At 48.5% G+C, this 26,636-nt stretch overlaps 2 protein-coding genes and 1 pseudogene across 27 annotated transcripts, besides 9 other annotated features; 2 read left to right on the forward strand and 1 right to left on the reverse strand.

The window, feature by feature from the left end:
• Window positions 804–7,500, forward strand: IL24 (interleukin 24). 7 transcript variants are annotated; one of them, NM_001185156.1, is made up of 7 exons: window positions 804–976; window positions 1,092–1,237; window positions 2,678–2,876; window positions 3,656–3,718; window positions 4,855–5,013; window positions 5,359–5,433; window positions 6,337–7,500. In NM_001185156.1, exons 2-7 carry the CDS (start codon window positions 1,194–1,196, stop codon window positions 6,418–6,420), a joined length of 624 nt encoding a protein of 207 aa, NP_001172085.1. In that variant the 5' UTR covers window positions 804–976; window positions 1,092–1,193; the 3' UTR covers window positions 6,421–7,500. The 7 variants fall into 7 exon arrangements, with proteins under 7 accessions (NP_001172085.1, NP_006841.1, XP_047297719.1 ...); NM_006850.3 differs by having other exon boundaries at window positions 2,681–2,876; XM_047441763.1 differs by having other exon boundaries at window positions 804–1,237.
• Window positions 5,372–5,431: an enhancer, noted in NCBI's record as "active region_2426". NCBI's record gives its function as "activates an Ori minimal core promoter by ATAC-STARR-seq in GM12878 lymphoblastoid cells {active_cell/tissue: GM12878}" and the evidence as "EXISTENCE:reporter gene assay evidence [ECO:0000049][PMID:35858748]".
• FCMR (Fc mu receptor) lies at window positions 6,678–26,557 on the reverse strand. 20 transcript variants are annotated; one of them, NM_001405862.1, is made up of 10 exons: window positions 26,508–26,557; window positions 25,179–25,251; window positions 24,702–24,794; window positions 17,120–17,455; window positions 16,290–16,403; window positions 15,091–15,313; window positions 13,571–13,701; window positions 13,086–13,229; window positions 12,823–12,881; window positions 6,678–8,508 (listed from the first exon to the last, which is right to left on the reverse strand). In NM_001405862.1, exons 2-10 carry the CDS (start codon window positions 25,213–25,215, stop codon window positions 8,380–8,382), a joined length of 1,266 nt encoding a protein of 421 aa, NP_001392791.1. In that variant the 5' UTR covers window positions 25,216–25,251; window positions 26,508–26,557; the 3' UTR covers window positions 6,678–8,379. The 20 variants fall into 20 exon arrangements, with proteins under 20 accessions (NP_001392791.1, NP_001392800.1, NP_001392792.1 ...); NM_001405871.1 differs by lacking the exon at window positions 24,702–24,794; NM_001405863.1 differs by lacking the exon at window positions 26,508–26,557 and having other exon boundaries at window positions 25,179–25,302.
• Window positions 8,079–9,278: an enhancer, noted in NCBI's record as "P300/CBP strongly-dependent group 1 enhancer chr1:207078063-207079262 (GRCh37/hg19 assembly coordinates)". NCBI's record gives its function as "activates an origin of replication core promoter dependent on BRD2, BRD4, P300/CBP, MED14 and CDK7 cofactors, with strong dependence on P300/CBP, by STARR-seq in HCT116 cells {active_cell/tissue: HCT116}" and the evidence as "EXISTENCE:reporter gene assay evidence [ECO:0000049][PMID:35650434]".
• RPL13AP8 (ribosomal protein L13a pseudogene 8) lies at window positions 10,959–12,089 on the forward strand (annotated as a pseudogene).
• Window positions 12,868–12,917: a silencer, noted in NCBI's record as "silent region_1768". NCBI's record gives its function as "represses an Ori minimal core promoter by ATAC-STARR-seq in GM12878 lymphoblastoid cells {active_cell/tissue: GM12878}" and the evidence as "EXISTENCE:reporter gene assay evidence [ECO:0000049][PMID:35858748]".
• Window positions 14,195–14,860: a silencer, noted in NCBI's record as "S10 fragment used in the reporter construct". NCBI's record gives its function as "represses activity of a beta-globin enhancer-driven SV40 promoter in transfected K562 erythroleukemia cells {active_cell/tissue: K562}" and the evidence as "EXISTENCE:reporter gene assay evidence [ECO:0000049][PMID:30886051]".
• Window positions 21,504–21,603: an enhancer, noted in NCBI's record as "active region_2427". NCBI's record gives its function as "activates an Ori minimal core promoter by ATAC-STARR-seq in GM12878 lymphoblastoid cells {active_cell/tissue: GM12878}" and the evidence as "EXISTENCE:reporter gene assay evidence [ECO:0000049][PMID:35858748]".
• Window positions 23,725–23,784: an enhancer, noted in NCBI's record as "active region_2428". NCBI's record gives its function as "activates an Ori minimal core promoter by ATAC-STARR-seq in GM12878 lymphoblastoid cells {active_cell/tissue: GM12878}" and the evidence as "EXISTENCE:reporter gene assay evidence [ECO:0000049][PMID:35858748]".
• Window positions 23,805–23,854: an enhancer, noted in NCBI's record as "active region_2429". NCBI's record gives its function as "activates an Ori minimal core promoter by ATAC-STARR-seq in GM12878 lymphoblastoid cells {active_cell/tissue: GM12878}" and the evidence as "EXISTENCE:reporter gene assay evidence [ECO:0000049][PMID:35858748]".
• Window positions 25,203–25,332: an enhancer, noted in NCBI's record as "active region_2430". NCBI's record gives its function as "activates an Ori minimal core promoter by ATAC-STARR-seq in GM12878 lymphoblastoid cells {active_cell/tissue: GM12878}" and the evidence as "EXISTENCE:reporter gene assay evidence [ECO:0000049][PMID:35858748]".
• Window positions 25,873–26,082: an enhancer, noted in NCBI's record as "active region_2431". NCBI's record gives its function as "activates an Ori minimal core promoter by ATAC-STARR-seq in GM12878 lymphoblastoid cells {active_cell/tissue: GM12878}" and the evidence as "EXISTENCE:reporter gene assay evidence [ECO:0000049][PMID:35858748]".
• Window positions 26,558–26,636: the final 79 nt, after the last annotated feature.

Below are 26,636 nucleotides of genomic sequence, written 5' to 3' on the forward strand. Positions count from 1 at the left end.
GCACATGGTAGAATCTAGAGCTGAGTGCCTTGCTAGCTGGAGATAGGGTCAGAGCTCTTGACTGCCCTGGCAGTCTTGACACATCACGCTGTCTGTGTCCCCTGAGTGGTTCAGAGCCACACAGGCCAAGACTAGCCCACCAGAGCACCAGGCCTCCCAGCTTTCTGGGCTTGTCCATGCGTACATTTCCTTATTCTTCCTGGTTTCCAGAACCTAAGGAGAGGCACATTTTGGTTGAGTGATTATAACCCTAGGGACCATGGGTAGCTGCATGTCAGGAAACACTCCTCAACTTCCTGGCCCTGATGGATTAAAGGAGAGGTACTTACAGGTTATTTCTTCGCTGTGGACTACTGTCCCAGCATGAATAGGGCATCATTATTGAATTATTTTGACAGGAAGGAGACTGGTGTATGCTGCACAGTAATAATGTATTTACATGTGTACAGAGTTTACCAAGCACCTCTGTGTTGTTTTTGCCTCTGTTTATTACACTTGCCCTTGGGGGGAGGTGGGACAAATTTTTTAAAAATTTATACATGCAGAGACTGCAGCGCAGAGAAGCTAAGAGACTTGCCCCTGCCCACACAGCCAGTGGTAGAGCCTGAACTCAAACCCAGGTCTCATCTCACCTCAGGGGCTGCTTTCCCCATCGCTGTATTGTCCTTAAAGTGATGGGTGACTAGGCAATGAAGTAATTCTCTAGGAAAGCATGACCAATTTCCCTTTCTCCACCTCCCTCTTTTTCCTCCACCCCTCCCCCATCAGCCCCCATATATATGCCCAAATCTCCACAAAGCCTTGCTTGCCTGCAAACCTTTACTTCTGAAATGACTTCCACGGCTGGGACGGGAACCTTCCACCCACAGCTATGCCTCTGATTGGTGAATGGTGAAGGTGCCTGTCTAACTTTTCTGTAAAAAGAACCAGCTGCCTCCAGGCAGCCAGCCCTCAAGCATCACTTACAGGACCAGAGGTGAGCATGGGGGATTCTTGGTTACTTTTTTTTGAAGGACTAGACCTCTGCTTTATTTGTGAAAAGGGGTCAAGGTGGGGACAGCAGAAGTCAATTTTTTTGAGTGTTGATGTAGGGACAAGACATGACTGTGATGAGGAGCTGCTTTCGCCAATTTAACACCAAGAAGAATTGAGGCTGCTTGGGAGGAAGGCCAGGAGGAACACGAGACTGAGAGATGAATTTTCAACAGAGGCTGCAAAGCCTGTGGACTTTAGCCAGGTGCGGTGGCTCACACCTGTAATCCCAGAACTTTGGGAGGCTGAGGTGGGCAGATCATTTAAGGTCAGGAGTTCGAGACCAGCCTGGCCAACATGGTGAAACCCTGTCTCTACTAAAAATACAAAAAAAAATTAGTTGGGCATGTGTTTTTGATATTTTCAGATACAAAAATCCCAGCTACTTGGGCGACTGAGGCATGAGCATCACTTGAACCTGGTAGGCAGAGGTTGCAGTGAGCCGAGATCATGCCACTGCACTCCAGCCTGGGTGACAGACTGAAATTCTGTCAAAAAAAAAAAAAAAAAAAAAAGCCTGTGGAGTTTGAAAGAACAGAATGAAAAGACATTGAGGGAGATGCTAAAGCATAGCCCCCGTCCCCCGTGACCCATAACCCAGGGGTCGCCGCCTCCCTAGCCCAGGTACCAGCAGAACCGGGTCTTCTCTGGTCTTCCTCCCGGTGTAGGGGTGGGAGGCAGTTTCTTTAGGTGTCAGACCAGTGCCTGCAGTAAGAAAGGTTCTTAAATGATTGTGTAAAGAAGTACGAAAGAAAGGGAGAAAGTAAGAAAGGGAGGGAGCGAGAGAGGAAAGAAGGAAGAAAGAAAGGTAAGGAGGGAGGGAGGGAGAGAGGGAGGGAAAGGACAAAGGGCAAAGAAGGCAGGGGGAAAGAAATTCTCTGCATCAGTTATAATAAATACATAATGGCGTTAGGTTCCCCAGCTTGGAGGCTCTTCACTCAGTCCTTCCCAACTGGCACTTCAGAGGAAGGCTTTAGAGATGATTCATCTGGAAATCTGATGCCTCTCTCTCATTTGGTTACTAAAAAAAGTGAATTTTTAGACTCAAGAGTGAGTGGTTAGTGGAGGTGGCATAGTCTGTGTGTGACCCTGACCTGCCCTCTGTGCCCCTCCCTGGGACCAGGATTAACCCCTTGCTCCCTTGTGATGAGGAGTGAGGGACAGCCGTCTCCTGGGGAGGAGAAAAAGACCTGCCAGCCTATGTGTGCCTAGTGGCTTCAGGGCAGAACTTGGATAAGCACATGTCTAGTTCAGCTCTTTGTTTTCCTGGGTTTGGGCTCCCCAGACGTGGCACATTAGAACCTCCCATTTCTCCACTCTTCTGGGTCAAATTCTGACTCGCAGGTTGTAGGCTAGAGAGAACTGCGATGGAGAAGGAGGAGGTGCAGGGCGTGTGGGTGTGGACGGGCAAGGTGGGGAAGAGCAGGTGGACAGATGGCAAGACGAGCGGCCTTAAGTTTGAGGGGCAGAAAGACCCCTGCTTCACCCCCACTGCACCTTAGCAAGGCTGCCGGTTTGCAATAGTCTCAACTTGCCCATTGGAGAGTGCTCGAGATTGGCCCGGGGAGACCCTCGGAGCATTTTCCCAGGGCATGTAACTCTGGGTCAGAGGGCCGGCCTCACAGGCTGCCTCCCTTTCTTTCAGCAGACCCTTCTGCCCTCCTTTGCTGGCGACAGCCTCTCAAATGCAGATGGTTGTGCTCCCTTGCCTGGGTTTTACCCTGCTTCTCTGGAGCCAGGTATCAGGGGCCCAGGGCCAAGAATTCCACTTTGGGCCCTGCCAAGTGAAGGGGGTTGTTCCCCAGAAACTGTGGGAAGCCTTCTGGGCTGTGAAAGACACTATGGTGAGTAAAGTGCTGTTCTGGACCCAGTCGTGGGGGTTCCTGGGGGCAGTGGGCCAGTGGGGCGAGGGGATGCTATTTTATGATTCTGGAGTCCTTCACAGCTTGCTAATCAGTTTCCAGTTTCCCATATAATAACTCTGTGAGGTCAGAAGGCACCACAAGCCCCATTTACACATGAGGAAATTGGGGCTCAGAAAAAATGTGGGCAGCCTCGAGTGAAATAAGCAGTGCCCAAGGGAAACCATGAAGAGAGCTAGATTCATCCAGGCTTCGTCCCGAATAGAGTCTTCGGCTCTAAATCTGAGAACTGGAATGAGTGGCTGGGCTGTGGAGGAAGCTCCAAGGGCAAGAGGCAGCTCTAGGGTGCAGGCTGTCCTCCCTCACATCCTGCTTCCTCACCACATGGAATATGGAGCCAAAATCCTGCCCATAGTGGTTCTTAAAGCAGATAGGCTTATTTCCTCCCATCTCAAATGACCAGAGGCATCAAACTGCTTCCTTATCAAATCTATGTTCATGCTCTAAGAATAAGAAGAACTCCTGGGACTCCATTTGCTCCTGGGGGGCCAAGCTTAGTCATTTTCGTGGCTGCAACCTTGTCTCCCCTCCCCATGGGCCAGCTCAGCCCAGTCCTTCCTGGGTCCTCTTTTGGTCCCTCTGGCCTTTGAGATCTCACAGACTAGATAGATTTAGGGGTCTAGGGAAGCAGCACATATTTGCAGAGTTGGTTTCTATGCTGACCCCTAACCTGGAGACGTCTTTTCTTTCTGTTTGCCAAGCAAGCTCAGGATAACATCACGAGTGCCCGGCTGCTGCAGCAGGAGGTTCTGCAGAACGTCTCGGTAATCAGACCTCGGGGACACCACCCTCTGTGGGACGGGTCTACTGTGGGTGGGAGTGCAAGGCTTTCTTAGGGGAGGTTGATGAAAGCCCTTCACTTCTTCCCTGGACTGACCTTACACAGGACAGGGCCAGACTGTGAGCCAGGGAAGTCAGTGTCTGGGGTTATTGCTATGTGGTATGTGTGTGCAGTGGTACTGGGAGATGGGGAAGGTGGAGGCTTGTAAACATCTTTCTCCATTTAGCCAGAGAATTATATATTTCTCTTTTACTTGTGTAGGCCCAATAGGCATCTACTTAGGTTCATGTCCTCTCTTCCATTTTCATCCTTTTCTCTGGGTCCTTTTTCCTGGGTCCTCCTTTGGTCCATCTGGCCTTTGATGTCTCATAGACTGGATAGATTTAGGGGGTCCAGGGAAGCAGCACATATTTGCAGAGCTGGTTTCTATGCTGAACCCTAACCTGGAGACATCTTTTCTTTCTGTCATGTGAGCTCATGTGAAGTGAGCTCATGACTTAAAATAATACCTAACAAAAGGATTCATCCTTTCTTTCACCACAATCAGGTAGAGTATGTTATCAAGGATGGGTCACCATCTTCTCATCATCCATCTAGTGGGCACAAACCTACTGAGCCCTGAGCCCTGAAAGATGTGGCACTTCAGGAGCTTGAGGGGGCTAGAGTGCAATTGCTGTGTCCAAAGATATTAGTTTCTCCTCATTTCTTCTGTTCTCAGTCATTTTCCAGCAAACTCTATATCACCAAGTCCAAGTTCAAGCCCTTTTCAGGGTCCATCACATCCCCATAGCTGTTAAAGAGGCCATGTGGCATAGAAGAAAGAGAATATTAAGCAGATGGGCAGTCAGGAATCCTGGGAGCTAGGCTGTGTCTGCCACTGATTGACTATGTGAATCGGGCCAGGTCATTTCTCTCCCTGGGTCTTGGTTCCTCCTCTCAAACAAAGACCTGCTCTCCATGGCCCCTGAAGGCTCCTACAGATCTAAGGTTCATCATCACCTTCTAGAAGATCCCTATCTCTGCTGTGCTTATCTTGCCTTGGGTGGCATGTGGGTTGTTCCTTCAGGGGGTCAGGGTGGGCAGAGGCCTTGGCTCAGCAGTGACCCAGACCTTCCCCAGGATGCTGAGAGCTGTTACCTTGTCCACACCCTGCTGGAGTTCTACTTGAAAACTGTTTTCAAAAACTACCACAATAGAACAGTTGAAGTCAGGACTCTGAAGTCATTCTCTACTCTGGCCAACAACTTTGTTCTCATCGTGTCACAACTGCAACCCAGTGTGAGTAGCACACGCTCTGGATACTGGCAGCTCTGGGTTCAAGTCTAGGTCTGCTTCCAATCTGCTGGGTGACCCTCTGCAAAGTCCTCCACCTCCCTGGGCTTCAGTTTGTTATCTGTAAAATGGGGATGATCACTCCTGCCTGGCAGGATTGCTGCGAGAATTAAAGGAGGTAGCCCCTTTCACAAGGTGGGAGTTTGGTATTGGTTACCTTGGGGAATGCAGGATTCAGCCCTGGGCTCTCAGGCTTTGGGAGACCCTGTGGCATCAGCAGGAAAACTGAGAGGGAGTTTGCATCTGCTCCTATCTAAAAATTGGCACAACTTCTTTTCCCATGTTATGTAGCAAGAAAATGAGATGTTTTCCATCAGAGACAGTGCACACAGGCGGTTTCTGCTATTCCGGAGAGCATTCAAACAGGTAAGGCCAAGAGCTGAGAGCTTGCCCATCCAGCAGAATAGACTAGTCTGCACCATCACACGAGGGCGCCTCAGAGACCCAATGCAGAATGTAATGCAGGGGACACCATCAGCTTTGCTCCAAAGCCCCCTGACTTAGCAGGAGCACAGTTATATTTGCAGAAGCATCGTAAACTAAGTGGTCTTTTTTCTTCCAGTTTTCAAGTTAAAGTGCTTCTATATTTCCCTACAAGATGATTTTACGAAAGGAACTTTCCCTGTGTTTTGTAGGTACTTGGGCTGGGCAACTGAAGTCAGAAGAGAGGGAGAAAGAAGGGAGACACCCCACCCCCACCCCCACCCCATACACATCTGCAGTATTTTCCATGATGCTCAACTGGTCTAGTTGTGAAAAACAATTATGGGAAATTATTTTTGCTTTTCCAAAATTATGACAACAAAGAAAACCCAAATTTCATCCCCAGCCCCCCTAAAAACATAAATGATTTCGATCACTTTTTTTTTTTTGAGGAAGAGATGCATCAGCTTTTAAATAAATGGTGAAGAGCAATAACATCTGATGGAGAGGGGCCACCTGGGCTCATTTCACCTGTGCAGTGGATTCAGGTGGTGGGCCATATCCATCCCATACTGCAGTTTGTGGTTGCTGTTGTTAGGGGTGCCATATGTCTTTCCCTTGTTCTTTGTCCACTGATATTCACTAGCCTGTTTGTCCTCACCCCTGAAGCAGATAAACACATGTAGATGGAGGAAAAGTGACAGGCAGGTGGGTTCATCAGTGGGCTCATCCCAAAGGTGACCCATCCCTTGGATTGGAGTCAGGTCTATTTTAGGCATGGCAGGTTGGAAGAAAGACTATTCTCATAGCTAACATGGCTGACCTTCAACCCTCTTTTCCCTTTAGTTGGACGTAGAAGCAGCTCTGACCAAAGCCCTTGGGGAAGTGGACATTCTTCTGACCTGGATGCAGAAATTCTACAAGCTCTGAATGTCTAGACCAGGACCTCCCTCCCCCTGGCACTGGTTTGTTCCCTGTGTCATTTCAAACAGTCTCCCTTCCTATGCTGTTCACTGGACACTTCACGCCCTTGGCCATGGGTCCCATTCTTGGCCCAGGATTATTGTCAAAGAAGTCATTCTTTAAGCAGCGCCAGTGACAGTCAGGGAAGGTGCCTCTGGATGCTGTGAAGAGTCTACAGAGAAGATTCTTGTATTTATTACAACTCTATTTAATTAATGTCAGTATTTCAACTGAAGTTCTATTTATTTGTGAGACTGTAAGTTACATGAAGGCAGCAGAATATTGTGCCCCATGCTTCTTTACCCCTCACAATCCTTGCCACAGTGTGGGGCAGTGGATGGGTGCTTAGTAAGTACTTAATAAACTGTGGTGCTTTTTTTGGCCTGTCTTTGGATTGTTAAAAAACAGAGAGGGATGCTTGGATGTAAAACTGAACTTCAGAGCATGAAAATCACACTGTCTTCTGATATCTGCAGGGACAGAGCATTGGGGTGGGGGTAAGGTGCATCTGTTTGAAAAGTAAACGATAAAATGTGGATTAAAGTGCCCAGCACAAAGCAGATCCTCAATAAACATTTCATTTCCCACCCACACTCGCCAGCTCACCCCATCATCCCTTTCCCTTGGTGCCCTCCTTTTTTTTTTATCCTAGTCATTCTTCCCTAATCTTCCACTTGAGTGTCAAGCTGACCTTGCTGATGGTGACATTGCACCTGGATGTACTATCCAATCTGTGATGACATTCCCTGCTAATAAAAGACAACATAACTCAAGTCTGGCAGACTTTCTTCTCTATTTCTGGATGAATGCCCAGTGAGACTGTGTTGTACAGCTAGAAAAGGCCTTCTTCCCAATAGCAAGGCTGTGCATCTAGCCTCAAGCTCTGGCTGAACTTTGTGGTCGACATCAATCTAAAGATACAGTGTCTGACTATAACCTTGTTCCAAAAACCTAGGCAAAGAGTATATGTAGGAGGTGGGATATCACTTCCATGACATAAGTGCTATTGCAGAGCCGTGGCCACCCAGGAACTCCTGACTGCTTTCCTTCCCCTGCTTGCTATACATTGTCTGGAACTGGCTAAGAAATGGGGAACATTTGTGAAAACCAAGAAATGTAATGGTTTTGGATGAATAAAATAGACCAAAGTTAAGGTAAGTGCACAAATATCAGTGTCAGGCTATGGAAGAAAGATAAAGAGATACTTTTTTTTTTTTTTTTTTAGAGGGGAGATGCTGAGGTCAGGGCACTTATGTGCATCAAGTGATGGAGACAGAGTAAAGAGAATTTATGGATATATATGCATATCTTGCTAATAAGTTTGGTTTATCATCACATCAAGATAAATTGCCTTTAGCATAGAACTTGAGATAAGTAGACGTTCACTAGCAAGTGCTAACATTTGGATCAGGGCAAAGGCGTTTCCAGGAGTGTTTTTATACCAGACCCCTGCTTAGTCCATGGGGCTGAGGCATGTCACATAACTCAGAGCAAGAGCCTTCTATTTGTGTAAGACCCAACCCTGGGAAGGATGCCCGAGACAATAGCTATGCCTCTGCCCCAGCCTGATGCCATGTGATCTAGAGCCTGGGCAGCAACAACCCTGTGGTCAAAGACATGGAAGAAACACTCTGCAAATCCCACAGTCTGTTCGACGGCTTGGAAAGGAAGCAAGTGGCATTGGGACAATTGCTCTACATGCCTACAGCTTACCTGTCAACTACAGGGGGCTGCCAAGGTGTGCAAGACGACCTGGGGGCAGAGCCATGCTCAGGGCACAGATAGATGGGGATGGGAGTCGAGATGGGGCATGGGAAGTGATGAGGGCTCTGAGAACACATGAAGCAGGTATTGGACATCAGCAGATAGATGAGACTCCTTGGCACCACAGTCCGAGCCTGGGGTTGGGGGATAGCTGGGGAGTTGTCAGGCAGGAACATTGATGTAGTCATCTGAATCACTGTCCTCCATCATGGCGGCAGGCTGGTGGTAGAGGCTCACGTATTCACAGCTGGTCTTCAGAGATGGGGCATGGAGCCAGGGAGATTCAGACACCTGGGGACAATGAAAGAAGCATCACTGGATCTGGGTAGGGTGATTTTAATATCTCCCCAGGTGGATTTTCATAGTGGGCAATGGGGCATGGACATGGCTGCTGAGTTCCAGAAGGCAAAGACACAGAGATGGCTCAGCTCCATCAAGTGGAGTAGCCCTGGGGATTTTCAGGGTAGTGTCTCACCTGAGATAACTGGAAAACCTAATGTGGGCAGGAAATGCCTTAAATGGGGCTCAGAGTAAAATCATGTGGCTAAGCATGGGCCTGAAAGAGACCCAGCTGCCAGAGGAGTATCCCCTCGGGGATAAGATGCTGTGACTTATGGCATAAATATGCATCTTCTTAGGGAGTTATTCAGAAGTAGAGTGAGTCACCCTCAGCACCTCTGTAAGGGCTCAGAGATGCTGTGATGTGGCGTCGTGACAGTGCATTCCAGGAAGGGGGATGGATGGTGAAGGGGATAAGATGGCAGCCCACATGGAACACTGGTGCTCCTCTTCCCCAGACAGAAACTTCAGGATCATCCACCTTGAGGACAGTCAGTTCTCAAAAGACAGGACTGTGCCAGTGACCCCAACATGGCACAGTTACTATCTCATCCACTGAGGAAGGCCACAAGGGGGACAGTTATGTATTTAAACACAAGCTCTGAGAATTAGACGTCCAGCAGCCTGAATATAGTAGGCATTCAGGAAGTACTCATTGAAAGGAACTTTTATATATTTTGTACTTTACTAAAGAGGGAAGCAGCAGCAGCTTGCTTTGAAAACATGTTTTCCATCAGTCAAGGAAGTAAGAAGCCACAAAACAGAAAAGAAAAAAAGAGAGAAGGTTGAAAAGAAAAGTAACAGTGAGAGCAAAGAAAACTAAGCAACAAAATTACATGGTCCTGGTATAAATGTCAGTGAGGATGAAACTCAGTCAAGTAATCAGTGAAAGACAGCTAATAAGCACATGTTGGTAGCACTCCACTTAGATGATATAAGACCAGTCAAGAAAGACCTGGATCCCAGAACAGCTCAAGATGTCAACCCGAAGCAAATTAACCAGCACATAACAATAGGAGAAACGATACACAAAGTTGGAGGTGACACAGAGAAATGAGAGATGATCAAGATAAAATTTCCAGGGTGGGAAGGAAGGTGGTAATACCTGAGCTTCCTTTAGAGGCCAAAGAAGAGACTGAGGACGGGAAGAAGATGAGGCTGAGGATGGGGAAGAGGATGAGGCAGAGGAAATCCTCGATGTATGACATGATTTTGTTTTTGTTAAATTAAACGAACTTTGAAAAAAGTGAGCAAGTCCTTTGTTAGTTTTTCACACTATCTTCTATTATGTTTTAATTAACTTTCTTTGTCTGAAATAGAGATGGTTTTAGATTTGCTAAAAAACAAAAATTTGTCTTTCACTGCCTGTTATAGTTCATCATTTGAGATTAACTTATTTGGCTTAAGAAATGGAAATGCTCCCCATGGAAGCTATAATAATGAGTCATTAAGCATAGGCACCTTTTTGTAAATTTGTTCCATCAAGATTTTTGCCCCTAATAGTGGGAATGAGAGTTTCAAGTAGAGAGGCAGGGTCAGCTTGGAACAAGGTGCAGGCCCAGGTGAGGGTCTGTGTGGTCACAGGGCAGTTTTAGAGAAAAGGGCTGCTGGAAAGACGGAGTAGACAGACAGTGTGGCGCCTGTTGTCCCTCCTGGTTGCTGCACCATCCTCTGGAGTCAATGGTCAGTATTCAGGTACCAGGACCTTGTGCACATATTTTCGAAGCAAGCTGCTGCTGCTTCCCTCTTTAGTAAAGTACAAAATATATCAAAATTCCTTTCAATGAGTACTTACTGAATGCCTACTATGTTCAGACTGCTGAACACTGCCACGCGGGTGTGAACCTTCTCTAGCGGGGGTGGGGAAGGGCAAGCCGGAGAAGCCGGGGGGTGGGGGGGTGGGGGGGTGGGGGGGGGGTGGGGGCGGGGTGGGGACTGCGCAGAACTGCCTCTTGTTGCTGGGTACCACTCTCTTCTTTGTAGCCAGGCCCACGATTGACCAGCTGGGGATTAAATTTCTCAGCCTGCCTTGAAGGGAGGTTCACTACATGGTTAAGTTTCAGCCTCTAGGATGCAAGTGGAAATGGTGGGAAACGTCAGGGTCATGGGCTTAAGAAGCAGCATTCTCTTCCTCCCTCCTGTAAGCTGGGACGTGCACACGGTCCTGGTGCCTGTGTACTGACCATGGAGCTGGCAAGACTCCAGAGGATGGCGCAGCAACCAGACAGAGGGAATTTCAGTCCCGAGATGACCTCTTGGCTCACTGGCTCAGGCCACCTCTTCCTGTCCCTGTCTGAGCCTTTATTTGGGGAGGGGGAAGTAGGCTTCCACCGTGTGGGCCCTGTCTTTTGGAGTCTGCTGCATTAGCTTAGTCTACATGCGAATTAAACAAGGGATTTTCTTTTCCCAGGCGGCTGCCGAAGATGGCGGGGGTGCAGGTCCTGGTGCTTGATGGTGGAGGCCATCTCCTGGGCCCCCTGGCGGCCATCGTGGCTAACTAGGTACTGCTGGGCTGGAAGGTGGTTGTCGTACGCTGGGAGGGCATCAACATTTCTGGCAATTTCTACAGAAACAAGTTGAAGTACCTGGCTTTCCCCCGCAAGCGGATGAACACCAACCCTTCCCGAGGTCCCTACCACTTCCCGGCCCCCAGCCGCATCTTGTGGCACAAGTACGAGGCTTGCTGCCCCAAGAGACCAAGTGAGGCCAGGCCGCCCTGGACCACCTCAAGGTGTTTGACGGCATCCTACTGCCCTACGACAAGAAAAAGCGGATGGTGGTTCCTGCTGCCCTCAAGGTCGTGCGTCTGAAGCTTACAAGAAAGTTTGCCTATCTGGAGCGCCTGGCTCACGATGGTGGCTGGAAGTACCAGGCAGTGATAACCACCCTGGAGGAGAAGTGGAAGGAGAAGGCCAAGTTCCACTACAGGAAGAAGAAACAGCTCATGAGGCTACGGAAACGGGCCGAGAAGAACGTGGAGAAGAAAACTGACAAATACACAGAGGTCCTCAAGACCCACGGGCTCCTGGTCTGAGCCCAATAAAGACTGTTAATTCCTCATGCTTGGCCTGGCCTGCCCTTCCTCCATCGTCGCCCTGGAATGTGCGGGACCCAGGGGCAGCAGCAGTCCGGGTGCCACAGGCAGCCTGGGACATAGGAAGCTGGGAGCAAGGAAAGGGTCTTAGTCACTGCTTTCTGAGGTTACTTGAAAGCACTCAGGGAATTGTGCAGGTGTAATTTATCTATGACCAATAGGAAGAGCAACCAGTTACTATTAGCAAAAAGGAGTCGGAAGACTAATTGGAGGGGCCCTACCTTGTGAGTGGGGCGTCTGTTTAACTTTCCACCTGGTAATATAGCTCTGCAGCTGTTAGAATGTGCAAGCGCTTGGGGACAACATGAGCTTGCTGTTGTACAAAGGGTATTTATAGAACCATAGACTGGGAAGATGTGCGACCAAGGGGTTACAGGAATTGCCTGTGCTCCTCACCTGTATTTTGTAATCAGGATCAAATAAATTATTTTTAAAGAAAAAAAAAACAGGGATTTTTACCACACCCTTTTAAAAAAAGCTTTATTCTGGGCTCTGCGTGTTTTGGACACTGTAGGCTGCTTTAGAGAATAAAAAGCTTTCTCATCTCAATTCTTAAAGATGAACGGATAAAGGCTTTCTACCCAACCATCAGTGGCCCTGAGTGGAAACGCGAGTTCCCTCCATCCACTCTAGATTTAAAGATGAATCCTCCTCACTCAAGGTGTTGAACCCTGTCTACATCTCTCCCAAGTCATCCTCTAGCCAAGCTTAACCGCCTCCAGAGAAAGGTAAATTACCTCCTCTCATCTTCGAGAGTTTACTAGAAAGTTCTCGCGCACAGGAAGGTGAACTGTCTAGGTAGCTTCCACCTCCCTAGGACCCCCTAGAAATCTAATCTCCTCCACGAGAAAGCCTTTCACATAACTGTGGAGCTGCCACCTATCATTCTCTGCTAAGCCAGCTGCATCCAGCACGCAGGTATCCCGTGACAACTGCTTGGCTAGAAGCCACGGAACCAGGTCTTCTACAGTTCCCGGTATTCAACCTCCTGACACCAAACAAGGAGGAAACTAAAACAACTTGTTCCTCGGCTCAGGGCCCAGGAGCTGCTGGGAAACCCGCTCTCCGGATCGCGGCGGCGGCGGCGCGGGAAGCCACACTCGGGTCCCCGCCCAGGGCTGGGGCCGCCCAGTCGGGCCGCGGCTGCCAATCAGGGCAGGAGCGGAGCTTACCTGCAGCGGGGCGGGGGGCAACGGCGCTCCGGGGCCGGGAACGGGGGCCTCCCCTGTGCCTAGGGAACAGCGAGGGCGAGGTGAGGCGGCGGCCGAGGCTCCCGCCCCACCGTCATGCTACTACTCCCAGCTCCACCCCCGCCCCACTCCCAGCTCCACCCTGTGGGAAGCCCTGGCACCTGGGAGCGCGCCCCGCTGCGCCCGGCTTTCCCGGAGCCAGCGCACTCTTTCCGCTACTCCCCGTGGCCCGCCCGGCGGCTCACCTGCAGCGTCCGCTCCACGAGCGCGCCGCGGGCAGGCGCTGTAGATGTTGTTTTGGGAGCGCGGTCGCGGCGACCCGCGGGGCCTCTGGGAGCTCTCCAGGGCGCGCATCCTCACGGCCAGTCGGCGGGCCCGCCTGGAGAGGGCTTCCCCACAAAGCCACGGGAAGAGGGAGGAAAATGGCATCAGAGGCCCGTGCCACCCTCCCCAAACGAAAGGCTGCCTCCTCCCTCGGGCTTGGCAGTGTCTGACCTGGAGATGCTCCAAGCGTGGGGAATGTACGAGGCACGGCCTTGCCCTGCCCTGAAGACCAAAGGGCCCAGGCCGCTCTCCTCCTCAGACCAGTGGCCCCCACTTCCCTAACTTCCCTACACCCCAGGCTGCTCATCAAAAGCTCCGAGTTTCCCATGGAAGTTCAAAAGGGGGTTCTGAACGCTGTGGGCTCTTTGGGCAGCTCAGCTCTCCCTACCGAAGCCCAGCCGCTCACCTTTCCTCCTTTCAACGGCCCTTTTCACCACCAGCCCCAGAAGTGCCAGCAGGAAAAGGCCCAGGATGGTCGGGATCAGGATGTGAAATCCTTGGCCTTCCCTCCCAGACTGTGAGCCATAGTCCAGTGCTCTGGGGAGGGAAGGAAAGGGAGAGAGGGAGGAAGAGATTATTAAAGGAGGTAGGTTGAGGGCTTGCTCCTGTGTAGCCAACGTTTTTGGAGATGACTTACAGGTTTGTCCTTTTGTTAACAGAATTCACTCCACTCCCCCCTCAAAAAGACTTGCCTATGGAGTCACGAAACTTGAATTCAAATTCATATTCCGCCTTTTACTGGTTGTGTGATCTCGAACGAGTCTCCTAACCTCTCTGAGCCTTATCTCTCCATAAATAGGTATAGTAAAATCTATTTCACAGAACTGTTATGAGGATGAAATAAGAGTGGATATAAAGAATTTAATGCACCTTCCGGTGTTCAGCACCTTAGTTTCTTCACGAGATTATTGCAGATATTGACTGGGCTAGTTCCTTATAATGGTGGGGGAAAGGATGTTTTTCTCATAGTGCTCCTTCTGCCTAGAAGTTTTCCCCTCAATTTTCTCTGCATATTGAAATCTTACTTTTCTTAAAGGACATTGTGTAAGTCCTCTTTTCTTCCTAATTATGGTAAGCCAGATTTGTGTGTGTGTGTGTGCGCTTTGGGTTTCCAATTCTGTGGTCATGCCTGTTTCAGACTTTATCAAGTCAGACTTATGTTAGTAAGATCTGGATATTGCATATTGTCATCTTCTTATATCTTCAGGACATAGCACAATGCTTGCCACATAGTAGAGAATAAGAAAATGCTGGTTGACCTTGATGTTTTCCCTACTAATAGGTAGGAAGCAAGAGTCCTGGTTCTGTTTGAAACCACTTGGTTCTCATGGCCCCAGTTTCTCCTACCTATAGAACCCAAATGATTTTGGAGGTCCTCTTTCTCACTATCACCTTTGTCTTTGCTTATGCAAAACCAATTTTGATTATTATAGGGTTTTTTTTTTTTGGAGTCTGCTATAATGCTTCCCCCTAGTGGTATATTGCAGTACTTCCTTGGACTGCACCCCAGCCTTTAGACCGGTGCTGTCCAGGAGAAATGTGAGTCACATATGTAATTTTAAATTTCCTAGTAGCCACATTAAAACAGTAAAAGGAAATGGGTGAAAGTAATTTTATATTACTAGTTTAATAGTTAATTTTATTTTTATTCTCATTTAGTTCTTCCCCATAAAAATAGATCTGAATGAATCTAAGTGACTGGAAGAGCTGGGTCTCACTTCTTTCTACAGGATCAATGCTGGGGCATTGACAAGTGTGTTTTTGTTAAAGGAACTAATGAGTTAATGAGCTATACTCATAGGTGGTATATTTCACAGTGGCCTAGAGACAAAGCCAAGGAGGGTGTCTAATAATGGACATTGCAGTGGGTTTCAGTGGATCTCTTAATTCTAGCCTAACTCTAGATCCTGGACAGTGGTCTCTTACCTCTGCCTGTGCAGCCTGGTGTGGTGGTTGTAGCTGGGCGTCTGGGGCTTGAGCAGCCCCTCCAGAGCTGAGATTTTTGAGGCTGTAGTGGATGGCAGGAAGGTTCGGGGCTTGTCACCTGCTACTGAAGATGCTCTGGACACTCGAGGGCGGTGGGTGATTTGGGTGGTGGGGGAGGAGTGGTGAACTGGAGGGACCTTGCCCCTTTGAGCTGGTGTGGTAACTGCAGGAGGTAGCAGGAAAAAGGGATGTTCCTTTTATACACTCTATTCTCCAACAGGATTAGGTCACCACCTCTTTCCACAACATACCCTTCCCTTTTATACAGACTACTTCTGTTCTTGCAGTCCTCAGGGCCTAAAATCCTTTTTAACATGCTATCTAGGCCTACTCAATTCCAAGTATATTTGCTTCAAATACCATTTCTTCCAGGAAGCCTTCCCTGACTTCCCAGGTAGAAGAGCTTGCCCCCTCTGAGCAGGGGGAAAACCTTTTTTGTAGTTCTATTCCCAATCTGCCTTGTGCTGTATTTGCGTGCTAATCTATTCTCCCCCATTTCACACCTATCAGTCACAACCTTGGCTACATGATCTGTTCAATTACACTATCCCTCTTGGCTCTCAGCAGGGTTACCTAGTGTAATAATGTTCAATTAATGTGTCTACCTCATAGGCATATGGGATAATATGATGGAAATATTGCATGTCAAAATGCATTTAAAACTGGATGATGATATCAAAATGTAAAGGTATCATTAGTATGAACATCCTTAATCTTTTAGTTGCAAAATAGAGTTAAAATCATTAGATGCCAGCAGGTAGAAGACAGCCCTACGGGAAGCACGAGACATGATGATCTCCAGCTGGGAAATGTCTGCCCAGTCTTGGTTTCCGCAGTCATTCATAAAAAGAGCTAGATTTTGTGAGTGGAGCACAAACATCATTGCTTGTGGTGCCACCTGGTGGTAATATGTAAGTTCTGCAGCTAGGACCAGGGGACCTGACTGTCGGACAGGCTTGAAGGATATGGACCGCAGATCTCAGGGAGGTATGTGCCCTCTCTAAAGGCAGGGAATACACACCTAAGACTCAGCTCAGCTCTGCCAGCCACTCTATGAACTGAACATAGACCCCCTCCTCCATTTTCACATTGCCACAGCATCTCACCCACCTCTCCTACCCTTGCTATGGTGAACTGACCTCTGGTTACGAATTTGGAAGAACTGGCATATGCAGGCATCTGGAACAAATAGGGCAGATGAAACCATTTTGGAGTCTCAGGCATTGGCTGCTCTTCCCATGATGGCTCGTATTCTATTGGAAGGAAGAGGAATATGTTGGTGGTCTCTAGGGGGAGACTGAGGCTTGGGTGTAAACTGAAGCTAATTCAGCCAAAGTGGATGACAGTGAGGGGATGAGGGCAGGGTCCACTGAAAGAAGCAGAGAAGGAGCTGGGTTGGGGGCTTCCCTGGAGGAAATACTGGTTCCCCTAGTCCAGTCAACATTCCCTGCAAAACCAGCAGAGGTCATTGGGATTCTAGGCTGTTGAATTACTGCTGCATATGTGTGGGGAACTCAGTGGAGGAAAGGAGAAAGGCGGGGTTCCAGAGAAATAAAGGATCAGGTCACAGAGTAATAAGATTGGCCTATAAATGTGGCTGGATAAATTAGTGTCTTTCCTTTATTTCTCATGGGACAATTACGTTGGATAGTTATTTCCTTTTGCTTCCAATTTCCTCCATCTCAGAGCCTCTCCTCAATCTCAAGCCTCTACTCCCCTCATGCCCTGGGTAGGATGAACAATACAAAGAGAGCACCTATCTTGTTCTTTTCATACATGTTGGGTAGAAAATTGTGTGGACCATGGAGGTAATTGACTATGAGGTTTCATATGGATCTCAATCATTATGTGGCTTATATGGCAACAGTGTAAGAGTCTAGGAGACTGTTACAGTTAGATGGCTGTTCCAATCTTCCCAAGTGAAACATTTTCTGGGTAGTCTGAGCCTCCAATCAGCGGAGGAACCTACCACTGTGGACATTCAGGGTGACTTTCTGGGTCTTTCCCCGGTCTGTGTTCATGCCCGCTCCGCAGGCATAGACTCCGCTGTCACTTTCTGTCAGCTGTGTTACCTCCACTAGGAACAGATTCTTGCGTGGGTATTGCTTCAGAGTAACTCGGCCCTTGTATTCTGCCTTGATGAAGTTGGTGGTGGATACCACGGTACCACATGTTCCAGATCCAGCCATCTCCCGGCACAGATATATCCTCACATGCATTTCAGGAAGTGGGCACTTGATGGTAACTGATCCGCCCAGCTCCCCCTCTACCTTTACTTCTGGGAGGATCCTCAGGGCCCCCGATACTGCAGGGAGAGGAGATTAATGCAGAGGGAGCCCCATCTCTAACTATATCCCAGCCCCATCTACTTCCCAGCTCCAGCCGTCTCTCCAACCCTAGCCCAGGCCCCAGCCCAACCTCACATTCATCCCCAGATCCAGCCCTGTCCCAATTATTAGCCTGGCCTCAGCCTGTCCTTAGCCACAGCCTTATCCTCATTTCTTTTTTCTTTTTCTTTTCTTTCCTTCCTTCCTTCCTTCCTTCCTTCCTTCCTTCCTTCCTTCCTTTCTTTCTTTTTCTTTCCCTTCCTTCCTTCCTCTCTCTTTTCTCTTTCTTTCTTTCCTTCCTTCCTTCCTTCCTTTCTTTTCTTTTTTTTTTTTTTAATAGGATCTCACTCTGTTACGCAGGCTGGAGAGCAGTGGTATGATCATGACTCACTACAGCCTCAACCTCCTGGGCTCAAGCAATCCTCCCAGCTCAGCCTCCCAAGTACCAGGGACTACAGGTGCATGCTGCCATGCCTGGCTAATTTTTGTCTTTTTTGTAGAGATGGGGTTTTCATTATGTTGCCCACGCTGTTCTCGAACTCATGGCCTCAAGTGATCTGCCTGCCTCGGCCTCCCAAAGTGCTGGGATTGAGCCACCACGCCCAACCCTTATTCTCATTTCTACCCTTAGTCTCAACTTCAGCCTCATCCCATCCCCAACCCTATTCACAACCTCAGGCCAGCTCTATGTTCACCCCCAATCCTATGCCTTAGCGTTACCTTAATTTAACCCCCAGCTTTGGCCTCACCACCAAACCCAAACCCATAAGGACCCAGACACTAAACCATTGAGATGATAATCAAAAGTATATCACTCACTCCAAAGAGACATAATATGCCTCAGGTGACCCCAAACAGCATAGAGCCCCCACGTGACCTCAGTGTGGTGCTGGGAGCATGGTGCGGTTATGTTGCAACAGGTTTTCCTTTCCAGTTTGGTTTCGCTCAGGCGCATCCATCTAGCCATTCATCCACAGCTCTATTTATTAAATCATTCAACAAGCGTTTATTGAATGCCTTTCCTGTGACAGTAAAGCAGCCGGCATCCCTCCCTCAGTCACAGATCATTTAGTGAGTGATACCAATCAATGGCCAGTGAGCAGTGTAATACATCCCATGAGAGAGATCGCATGGGGTTCCCTGGAAGGAGCAAACCCGGGCGCCTGATGTAGGCTGTTGCAGGGGGTGGCGTGGTCGGAGGAGGGCTTTCTGGAATAAGTGACGTCTGAGTTGTGACCTGAAGGAATGGGTATGGAGTGCAACTGAGAGCGTGACGATGCTCATCATGGAGGCAGGGGACATAGGAGGGGAAGTGAGGGTGTGTGTGTATGTGTGCATAGGTGTGCACACACTGTATGTGTGCTGGGGAGGGATAAAAGATGTGGTTCATGAATCCCTGACATCATAAAGCTTATGCTTTGAGTGACAGAGGTCAGGTCTAATGCACTTGAGCCAGCTACAGAAGAGGGTAAGGCCGTGTCTGACTAATTGCCAACTAAGCGGATCCCATAAGTGTCTGCATATTTCTGGGAAGAAAGTTCATAGGGTAAAGTTGTGTGTGTGTGGCGAGGTGGGGCTGGAAGCCTGAAGTGGGGAGAAGAGATTCTTCCAAATAGCCAGAACAGTCCCCTAACAGTCCGGGATATGAGAGAGAACATAGCATGTCCATGGGCGGAGAGACATTTGCAAACGTACTGAGATTTATCCACAGGGCACACTTTAAGAAGAGCACTATCGAGTTTAGTCAAACAAGAGTCAGGTATAGCTTAGGAAAGAGGTGGGGCTTGAGGCTTTGGGATAAAGACACTCTGGGCAAAGGGAAGAATTCTGACAACGGTAGAGAGGTAAAAACAATCATGGGAGGGGGAAAGGGGGTTGGGGCAGGTGGGGAGATTTGGAGAGGGAGGACGTACAGGAGGACATTGAGATCTAAAAGTGTAGCTGATGTAAACATGGTAGGGACAGGCAGATGGACCAGCCAAAACCACGAGTTCTGACATGGAAACCCTCACATGAAAAACCCAGCACTGCTTTAAACCCACTGGAAATTGAGTCATGAGGTAGCCTCACAACTAGACATTGCAATGGAAAGGTGACCTGTCACAAAGTGTCAATCAACAGACAAAGACCCAATCAAAGGAAGGTCTGGAGGAATCACCCTGTGCATCCAGACAGCCCCCACCTGTGTGGGAAGTTGAATGCCGAGGGTGGGAGCACGTGGAAGTATTCAAATGAGACTAACCCAGCCAGGAAGGGGGTGTGAATGCCACTTTCCCAAGAGCAAGATGGTACACAACGGGCAGGGGGAAGATAGCAGAGATGGGGTCATCACCCATGTAGCAACCTCCAGCAGCCTCAGGCCTCCCAGGGTTGAGCTTTTGGTAAATCCCTGGCTTGCCTGTTCGGCTGCTTGTGCAGACCCTAGACGGATGAAGTGCAAGGAAAGCTGCTGGCTATGCTGAGCTCTGGTCCACAAGGAAGCAGTTGTTGGCGATGTGAAAATGACCAGTCCCCAGGAAAAAGAAACTAGTTCTCCTCAAGTTCATGGTAGCTTCTAACCTATTCCCAAGACTTAGTAAAGCAGATTTTGAAAACAGAGAAAAGACAGATATAAGCTACTGGTTTAGACATCTAAAGTAGCACAGTGTGCATGAGACTCATCTGAGGAGATTGGCTACGATGCAGATGATCTGGTCCCGTTCTTAGGAAAGGTGATTACATCTGTCTAGGGCATGGTCTAGAAATACGTGTTTTTAAACAGGTGTCCCAGGTGCTCTTGCATTTCTGCAATCCTGGGCTATATAACATTTACAAATGATTCTGGGGAAGAAAGGGAGGAATGAGAGAAGGCATCGAAAGGAACCAACCTGTTCAATAGTAATATTTCTGAGAGGCTGCTAAGTAAGTGACATTAATCTCTAAATTGGTGACTTGATTTTCAGTGGTTATGGTAGGGAAGAGGGGGATATGTGGCTTAAAGAATCACTCTCAATATATAAACGGATGTAAATACATGATTGGAAAATGGGAAAAAATTTTCACCATACAAAATAAGATCAAGGTCCATAGGTCCTTGGTGGCTGGGGAGCTCTGGAGAGGGACTCTGGCACCCACTTAGGGGTGATTTTCCAGGTGGAAGTGCAGATGAGGACCTAGTCAACTCAAATAAGAGCAGATCTCAGGAAGAGGAGAGCTGGCCTGTGATTTTTATGTTTATCAAACGGGGCATGGATTTTTTTTTTGAAGGATGAGAAACATCCCGCTCAGCTTCTTATTTCCAGATATAGTAACCCGGGTGTGTCCAGGCCTGCAGCCTGTCACAAAGAATGAAGTGTCCACCTCCTTTCAAAGGCCAGCCCCTCCACCTGTATCCTGAGTCCATCATTCTCACCTGTTTTAGAACTTCTTGTCTGCAATGATCCTGTTTCTTTCTCTGGCTATTGGAGAAAAATGGCCTTCTCATCTAGCATTGCCATAGCTTACACACATGTCCTGCTATTGCCCATATTTTCTTCTCCTTCTGTTTTTAAGACAGGGTCTTTCTCTGTCACCCAGGCTGGGGTGCAGTGGTGCAATCTTGGCTCACTGCAGCCTCCACTTCCTGGGCTCAATTGAGGCTCCCACTTCAGCCTCCTGAATAGCTGAGATCACAGGCGCCTGCCACCATGTGTGGCGAATTTTTTTTTTTTTTTTAGAGATGGGCTTTCACCCAGGCTGGTCTTGAATCCCAGGCTCAAATGATCCACCCACCTCAGCCTCCCAAAGTGTTGGGATTACAGGCATGAGTCTCCATGCCTGGCTTTGCCCATCTTTAGAAATCCCTCAGTTGACCTTTGCCTCCCCTTCACCTGCCAACACACCTCTTTATTCTCTTTCTCAAATCAGTCATCAAATTCGCTAAATCAGATTCACTTCCATACCTCCCAATTTCTCTTCAATCCACTTCTATCAGAATTTCGTGTCCAGTATTCCACTGAAACTGCTCTTGTCAAGTCACTGAAATTCTCCTGTTGCCACATGTAATGGTCACCTCTTTGTCTTCATTTCCCCTCATCCTCTCAGCAGCGGTTGACAGAATGGAGCCAGCCCAGCTTGAAACACACCCTTGGTGTGGCTTCCTTAGTGCATACCCTCAACGGTGGCTCCCTGTCAGCCTGCATTCTTCCTCTCCTTCTCTCCTGCCTCTCCATCCTGGCTAGCCCAGGCCCTGTGCCTTGGACCTGTTCTTTTCTCTGTCCTCCCTCCCTCTCTCCCCTCACTCGCTCATTGACTCCCATGGCTTTTAAGGCTAATGCTATAGATTCCACCAAAATGTGATCTCCAGTCTTCCTCTGAGCTCCAGACTTGCTCTGACATCTCCACGTGGACCCTACTTGAATGTGTAAGATATATGCCAAACTTAGGACAGCTGAGAAAGAGCTGATTTCTCTTCCAAAACCTGACCTTCACACACTCTTCCGATGACCCCATCATCCACCCATCTGCTGAAGCCTAGAACTCATCTTCATGTTAAAGAATCAAGAATAAATTTTAAGTGTGTGTGTGTGTGTGTGTGTGTGTGTGTGTGTGTCTGTGCATGCTGGGTCCCAGCATCAAATGTATGTATGTATGTATGTATTATTATTATCATTAGTCAAGGTAAAAAGGTTTGAAAGCTCACACTGCATGACACTGCCTTGCTTTATTATAGAGCTCTACACAGGGCTCCAGGCAAAGTGGTCTACAGTTTGTGCCTCATGCGCTAGGCCCTAGGGAGACCCACTCCAGCATTTGCAGGACCTGGAGTAGGAGTACAAATTAAAGCCCAAATACTATATATCTGAATATTTTTAAGTTATAAATCAAGCTAATAAACTGTTAAATAAAATTCGCTTTACTTCCCTAGCTTGACTAATGCACCCTCCTTGGATGTCCACTCTACTCCGTGGCCATGCAGGGAAAACAACCCCAAGCTTCCTCTCATCCCTTCCTCCTGCCCACAGCACAAGGGTCCTGGTATATACATAGTAGATACCCCAGCTTGCAAGTACAGTCTTCGTCCACCCCCACCTTCTTCCCAAATAGCCGCCCATGGCCACCTTTTATAGGCCAGGGGTCAATCTCAAGAGGAAGACCCAGGATAGAAGCTTGCACCGTCATTGAAAGGGGGCCCAGAGTCATGTGGACAGGGAATTCTAGTTCTAAAAGAGAGAGTTTGGGTAGGGCATGGTGGCTCAGGCCTGTAATCCCAGCACTTTGGGAGGCAGAGGCAGGCTGATCATTTGAGTCCAGGAGTTTGAGACCAGCCTGGGCAACATGGTGAGACCCTATCTCTATTAAAAATACAAAAATTAGCCAGGAGAGGTGGCATGTGCCTGTAGTCCCAGCTACTCAGGAGGCTGAGGTGGGAGGATCACTTGAGTCTGGGAAGTTGAGGTTGCAGTGAGTCGTGATCACACCACTGCATTCCAGCCTGGGTGACAGGAGTGAGATCCTGTCTCAAAAAAAAGTGGGATTAGGTGTGGGCTTGGGGCGTGTGCCTCCCCCGGCCTGCAAAGTGCTCACCCTGTGGGCATGGGCATGACTGGAGAAGGGTGGAGCCCATAGCAGGATCCCTTGGCCCAGCTAGAATGAGGGTACTTCTCAGGACAGACTGAAGTGGTGCAATTTGAGGACCCTTCATGCCTTTAGGTCTTCCACTCCCCACCAAATCCTCTCTTCCTCCTCAGGCCTAAGTTTAGTTAACCAACCACCGTGCCCTCCTATGTCCTACTACCTCTCACAGTGTTTGATGTTTCACGTAAACTCCATTCCGTTGGACTTTTAGAGATTTTCAATCTTCAGCTTAACAAATATCTGAGTTTCTTTCATACTCAAGACATCACAAAGAAAGCAAACATAATAGGAAGCCACTTTAATCCACAAGGAACTTATCACTGAATAAACCAAATTAAGATGGACACACATTGAACATAATACAAGGCAGCCATTGGGCTCAGAAGAGGGGGCTCAGGAATGTCTACAATAAGGAGGTGAAGTTTGAGATGGACTTTGAAGAACCCATAAAAAGTGAAGGTGGCCAGGTGCAGTGGCTCAAGCCTGTAATCCCAGCACTTTGGGAGGCCGAGGCGGGTGGATCATCTGAGGTCAGGAGTTCAAGACCAGCCTGGCCAACATGGGAAAACCCCGTCTCTACTAAAAATACAAAATTTAGCCTGTCACGATAGTGCGCACCTGTAATCCCAGCTACTTGGGAAGCTAAGGCAGGAGAATCGCTTGAACCCAGGAGGCGGAGGTTGCAGTGTGATGAGATTGTGCCACTGCACTCCAGTCGGGGCAACAGAGAGAGACTCTGTCTCAAAAAAAAAAAAAAAAAGGTGAAGGTGAGAGGAAGGGTGTTCCTGGCAGAAGGCACAGCATGGGCAAAGACATGGTGGCAGGAGTGTGTGGCTTGTGTTCAAGGAGGAGTCCTGTTGGCCGAAGGTTAGGAAAGTGTTGGGGAGTATGGTTGGCTCAGAGTATGAAAGGGGATACAGGGAGGAGTGTATATTGACTTCAGTAGGCAGTAGGAGTCATTAGAGGTTCTTGGGAGAGGTAATCCTGTGATTAGAAGTCAAGTTTAAGAAAATTAATCTGGCACTGCAGGCATCCTGAGTTAGAGGAAGTGGGAAAGATAGTTAAGAGGGGATTGTGTGTTCTTTTCCCGTCCATTTCCTCTGTTACCTTCCTAGTATCAATTGCTGCTGCTTCTTATCCCAGTAGACATGGATCTAGAAACTGCAATGATTTGGCCATTGACTGGATCAAGGTCTGAATGAGGATACATGGGAAGAGGTGGTAATTAGCCATTCTGGCATTTTGTGGCTGATGATCAGCGATACTTCAGACAGGTGAAATAGCTGGTTTGGATGGTGATCAATGAAGAATTGAGGTAAGGTTAGGCAGTTTACATTTCAAATCTTGGTGGAATATTGAAGCAGAGGTTGCCCAGGAGACAGTTGTAAGTTGAGATATGGAATTCAGGAAATAGATTAGAGCTACTGAATGGATTACGGAATTTTCATTTAGGGTTGAAAGTTGGAAATTCGGGACTGAAAAAGATCTATAGAAAGAGTGTAGAGGTAAGAAGAAAGAAGTACGGAGACACTTGCTTTAAGATCCCATATTAATAGGCTAATATGTTTAGGAGAGATGACACCTTCAGCTCTTAAGAGTTAACACCTGGCTGGGCACAGTGGCTCACACCTGTAATCCCAGCGCTTTGTGAAGCTGAGCCAGGAGGATCACTTAAGGCCACAAGTTCAAGACCATCCTGGGCAACACAGCAAGACTCCATCTCTACAAAAAAATTAAAAATTAGCTGGGCATGGTGGCATGCACTTGTAGTCCTAGCTACTAGAGAGTCTGGGGTGGTAGGATCACTCGAACCCAGGAGTACAAGACTGCAGTGAGCCATGATCACACCACTGCACTCCAGCCTGGGTGATAGAGTTAACACCTGACTGAAACAGGAGAGTGTCTGGAGTGGAGAAAGGAGCATTACCATGGAGTGAGGAAGGCATCCAACACCTCACATGGCCTCCATTCTTGTCCTGCCCTAGGTGTTGGTTCACAACTGAATCCATCCAGAAACATCAGAGCTAGAGCTACCAGGCAATTATTCTACTTGTGGCCAATTCAAGCCTCATTCAGAGGTCTGAAGTGTTTCCCCACGGTACTTACCTGGCAGGAAGTAAAGTGGCCAAAGCCAGAAGTCCATTGTCCCTTCTAGAGTGCAAGGTCCATCCAAGAGCCCCTAGAGAGGGGGATGGAGACACGCTGCTTACTCAGGAACCCTTCACAATCTGGAACTGGAAAGAGATTTCTAGCCCCCACGAGGAACAAAGCTTGACGATGAGGAAATGACAACCTCCCTTGTTTGCTAACTATTCTCAGGCTAAAAAGAGAGTGCTGACAAACCACAGCGGAAGTCAGGAGCTGAGAAAACATGTTGTGTGGAGTAAGAAAGGGTCACCCTGTTCAAAAGGCATCTAAGAAGTTCCTCCAGACTATTAGCAGTGACCAGGCCTGATATTCCTTTGTCTTGGTGCTTTTTCTTAGCAGGGCCTCCCGTGCTTTATGTATACTCATTGGCTTCCGTGCTGGGGTCATTTGCTTTCATTCTGCCTTCAGGATAAAAGAGCCTTATCACCAATTTTCCCTGCCTGAGAAAGGCTGTATGGGCAGACGCTTGGGCCTGAAGTCAGAAGATGCTGACTGTAGTCCTTACCAGTCACCAGTTAACTCACCTTTACAATAGTTTTTGAGCACCTTCTATGTGGGGGTACTAACTAAGGACTTTGAGCAATCCATTACTTTTCTCTGAGCCTGAATTTCTTCATCTAGGAAATAAACGAAGCTGGGACTAGATGATCCCTGCCATTCCCTCCTGCAGAACACAGTTCCTGAGGACTTCACATAGCTCCCCAGCACCTCAGCCAACCTTCACCCTTAATCTCCCCAAAGTGTCCCCACAAGGTGCTGCCCTGTGGCAAGGGCTCAGGCCTCTGTCCAGTGACCACCAAGGCAATGCCAGAACTGGGGTGTGACAGGTCATGCAGCCACTTTGCCTGAAGTCACAGCACCCTGGTAGAGCTCTCCTTCAGGACCCCAAGGGCCCAAGGGTAAGGCCCATGACTGATGGAGAGAGATGCTGAGGCCACAGGGCATCTTGGGAAGAGTTTTGGATGCAAGTCAGAAGACCTCAGGTCTTGTACTGGCTTGGCACTTTCTAGCTTTGGGCAAATTTCCCTGGGCCTCGGTTTTTTCCTTGATAAAGTAGGGATTGCCCCTACCCTGCCCACCTCACATGGCTTTTCTGAGGCCCAGCAGAACTCACAGGCATGGAAGTGCTTTAAGAAGCCTTCACTGTGAGCTGCGCAGGGGTATTACTTATGAGGGCATTCTCAGGGCTCTGTTCCTGGAAGTTTCATCCCTGGAGGTCAGTTCTCAGGGCCCCAACCCCAGGTGAAAGGACCTCTTGTGCCCCTGGAGGATCCGGGCTATACTCACACTGTTTCTGGGGGGATGTGCCTGACAGACCCGGGCTCCACAGTGGTTGTGTCAGCCACTCCCTGCTCGCCCCCACACAGCAGATTTGTCACATGTTCTCTAAAACAACAACATCCGTGGTGGAAGTTG

The sequence above is a fragment of the Homo sapiens genome, chromosome 1, assembly GCF_000001405.40.
Source record: "Homo sapiens chromosome 1, GRCh38.p14 Primary Assembly".
Lineage (NCBI taxonomy): Eukaryota > Metazoa > Chordata > Mammalia > Primates > Hominidae > Homo > Homo sapiens.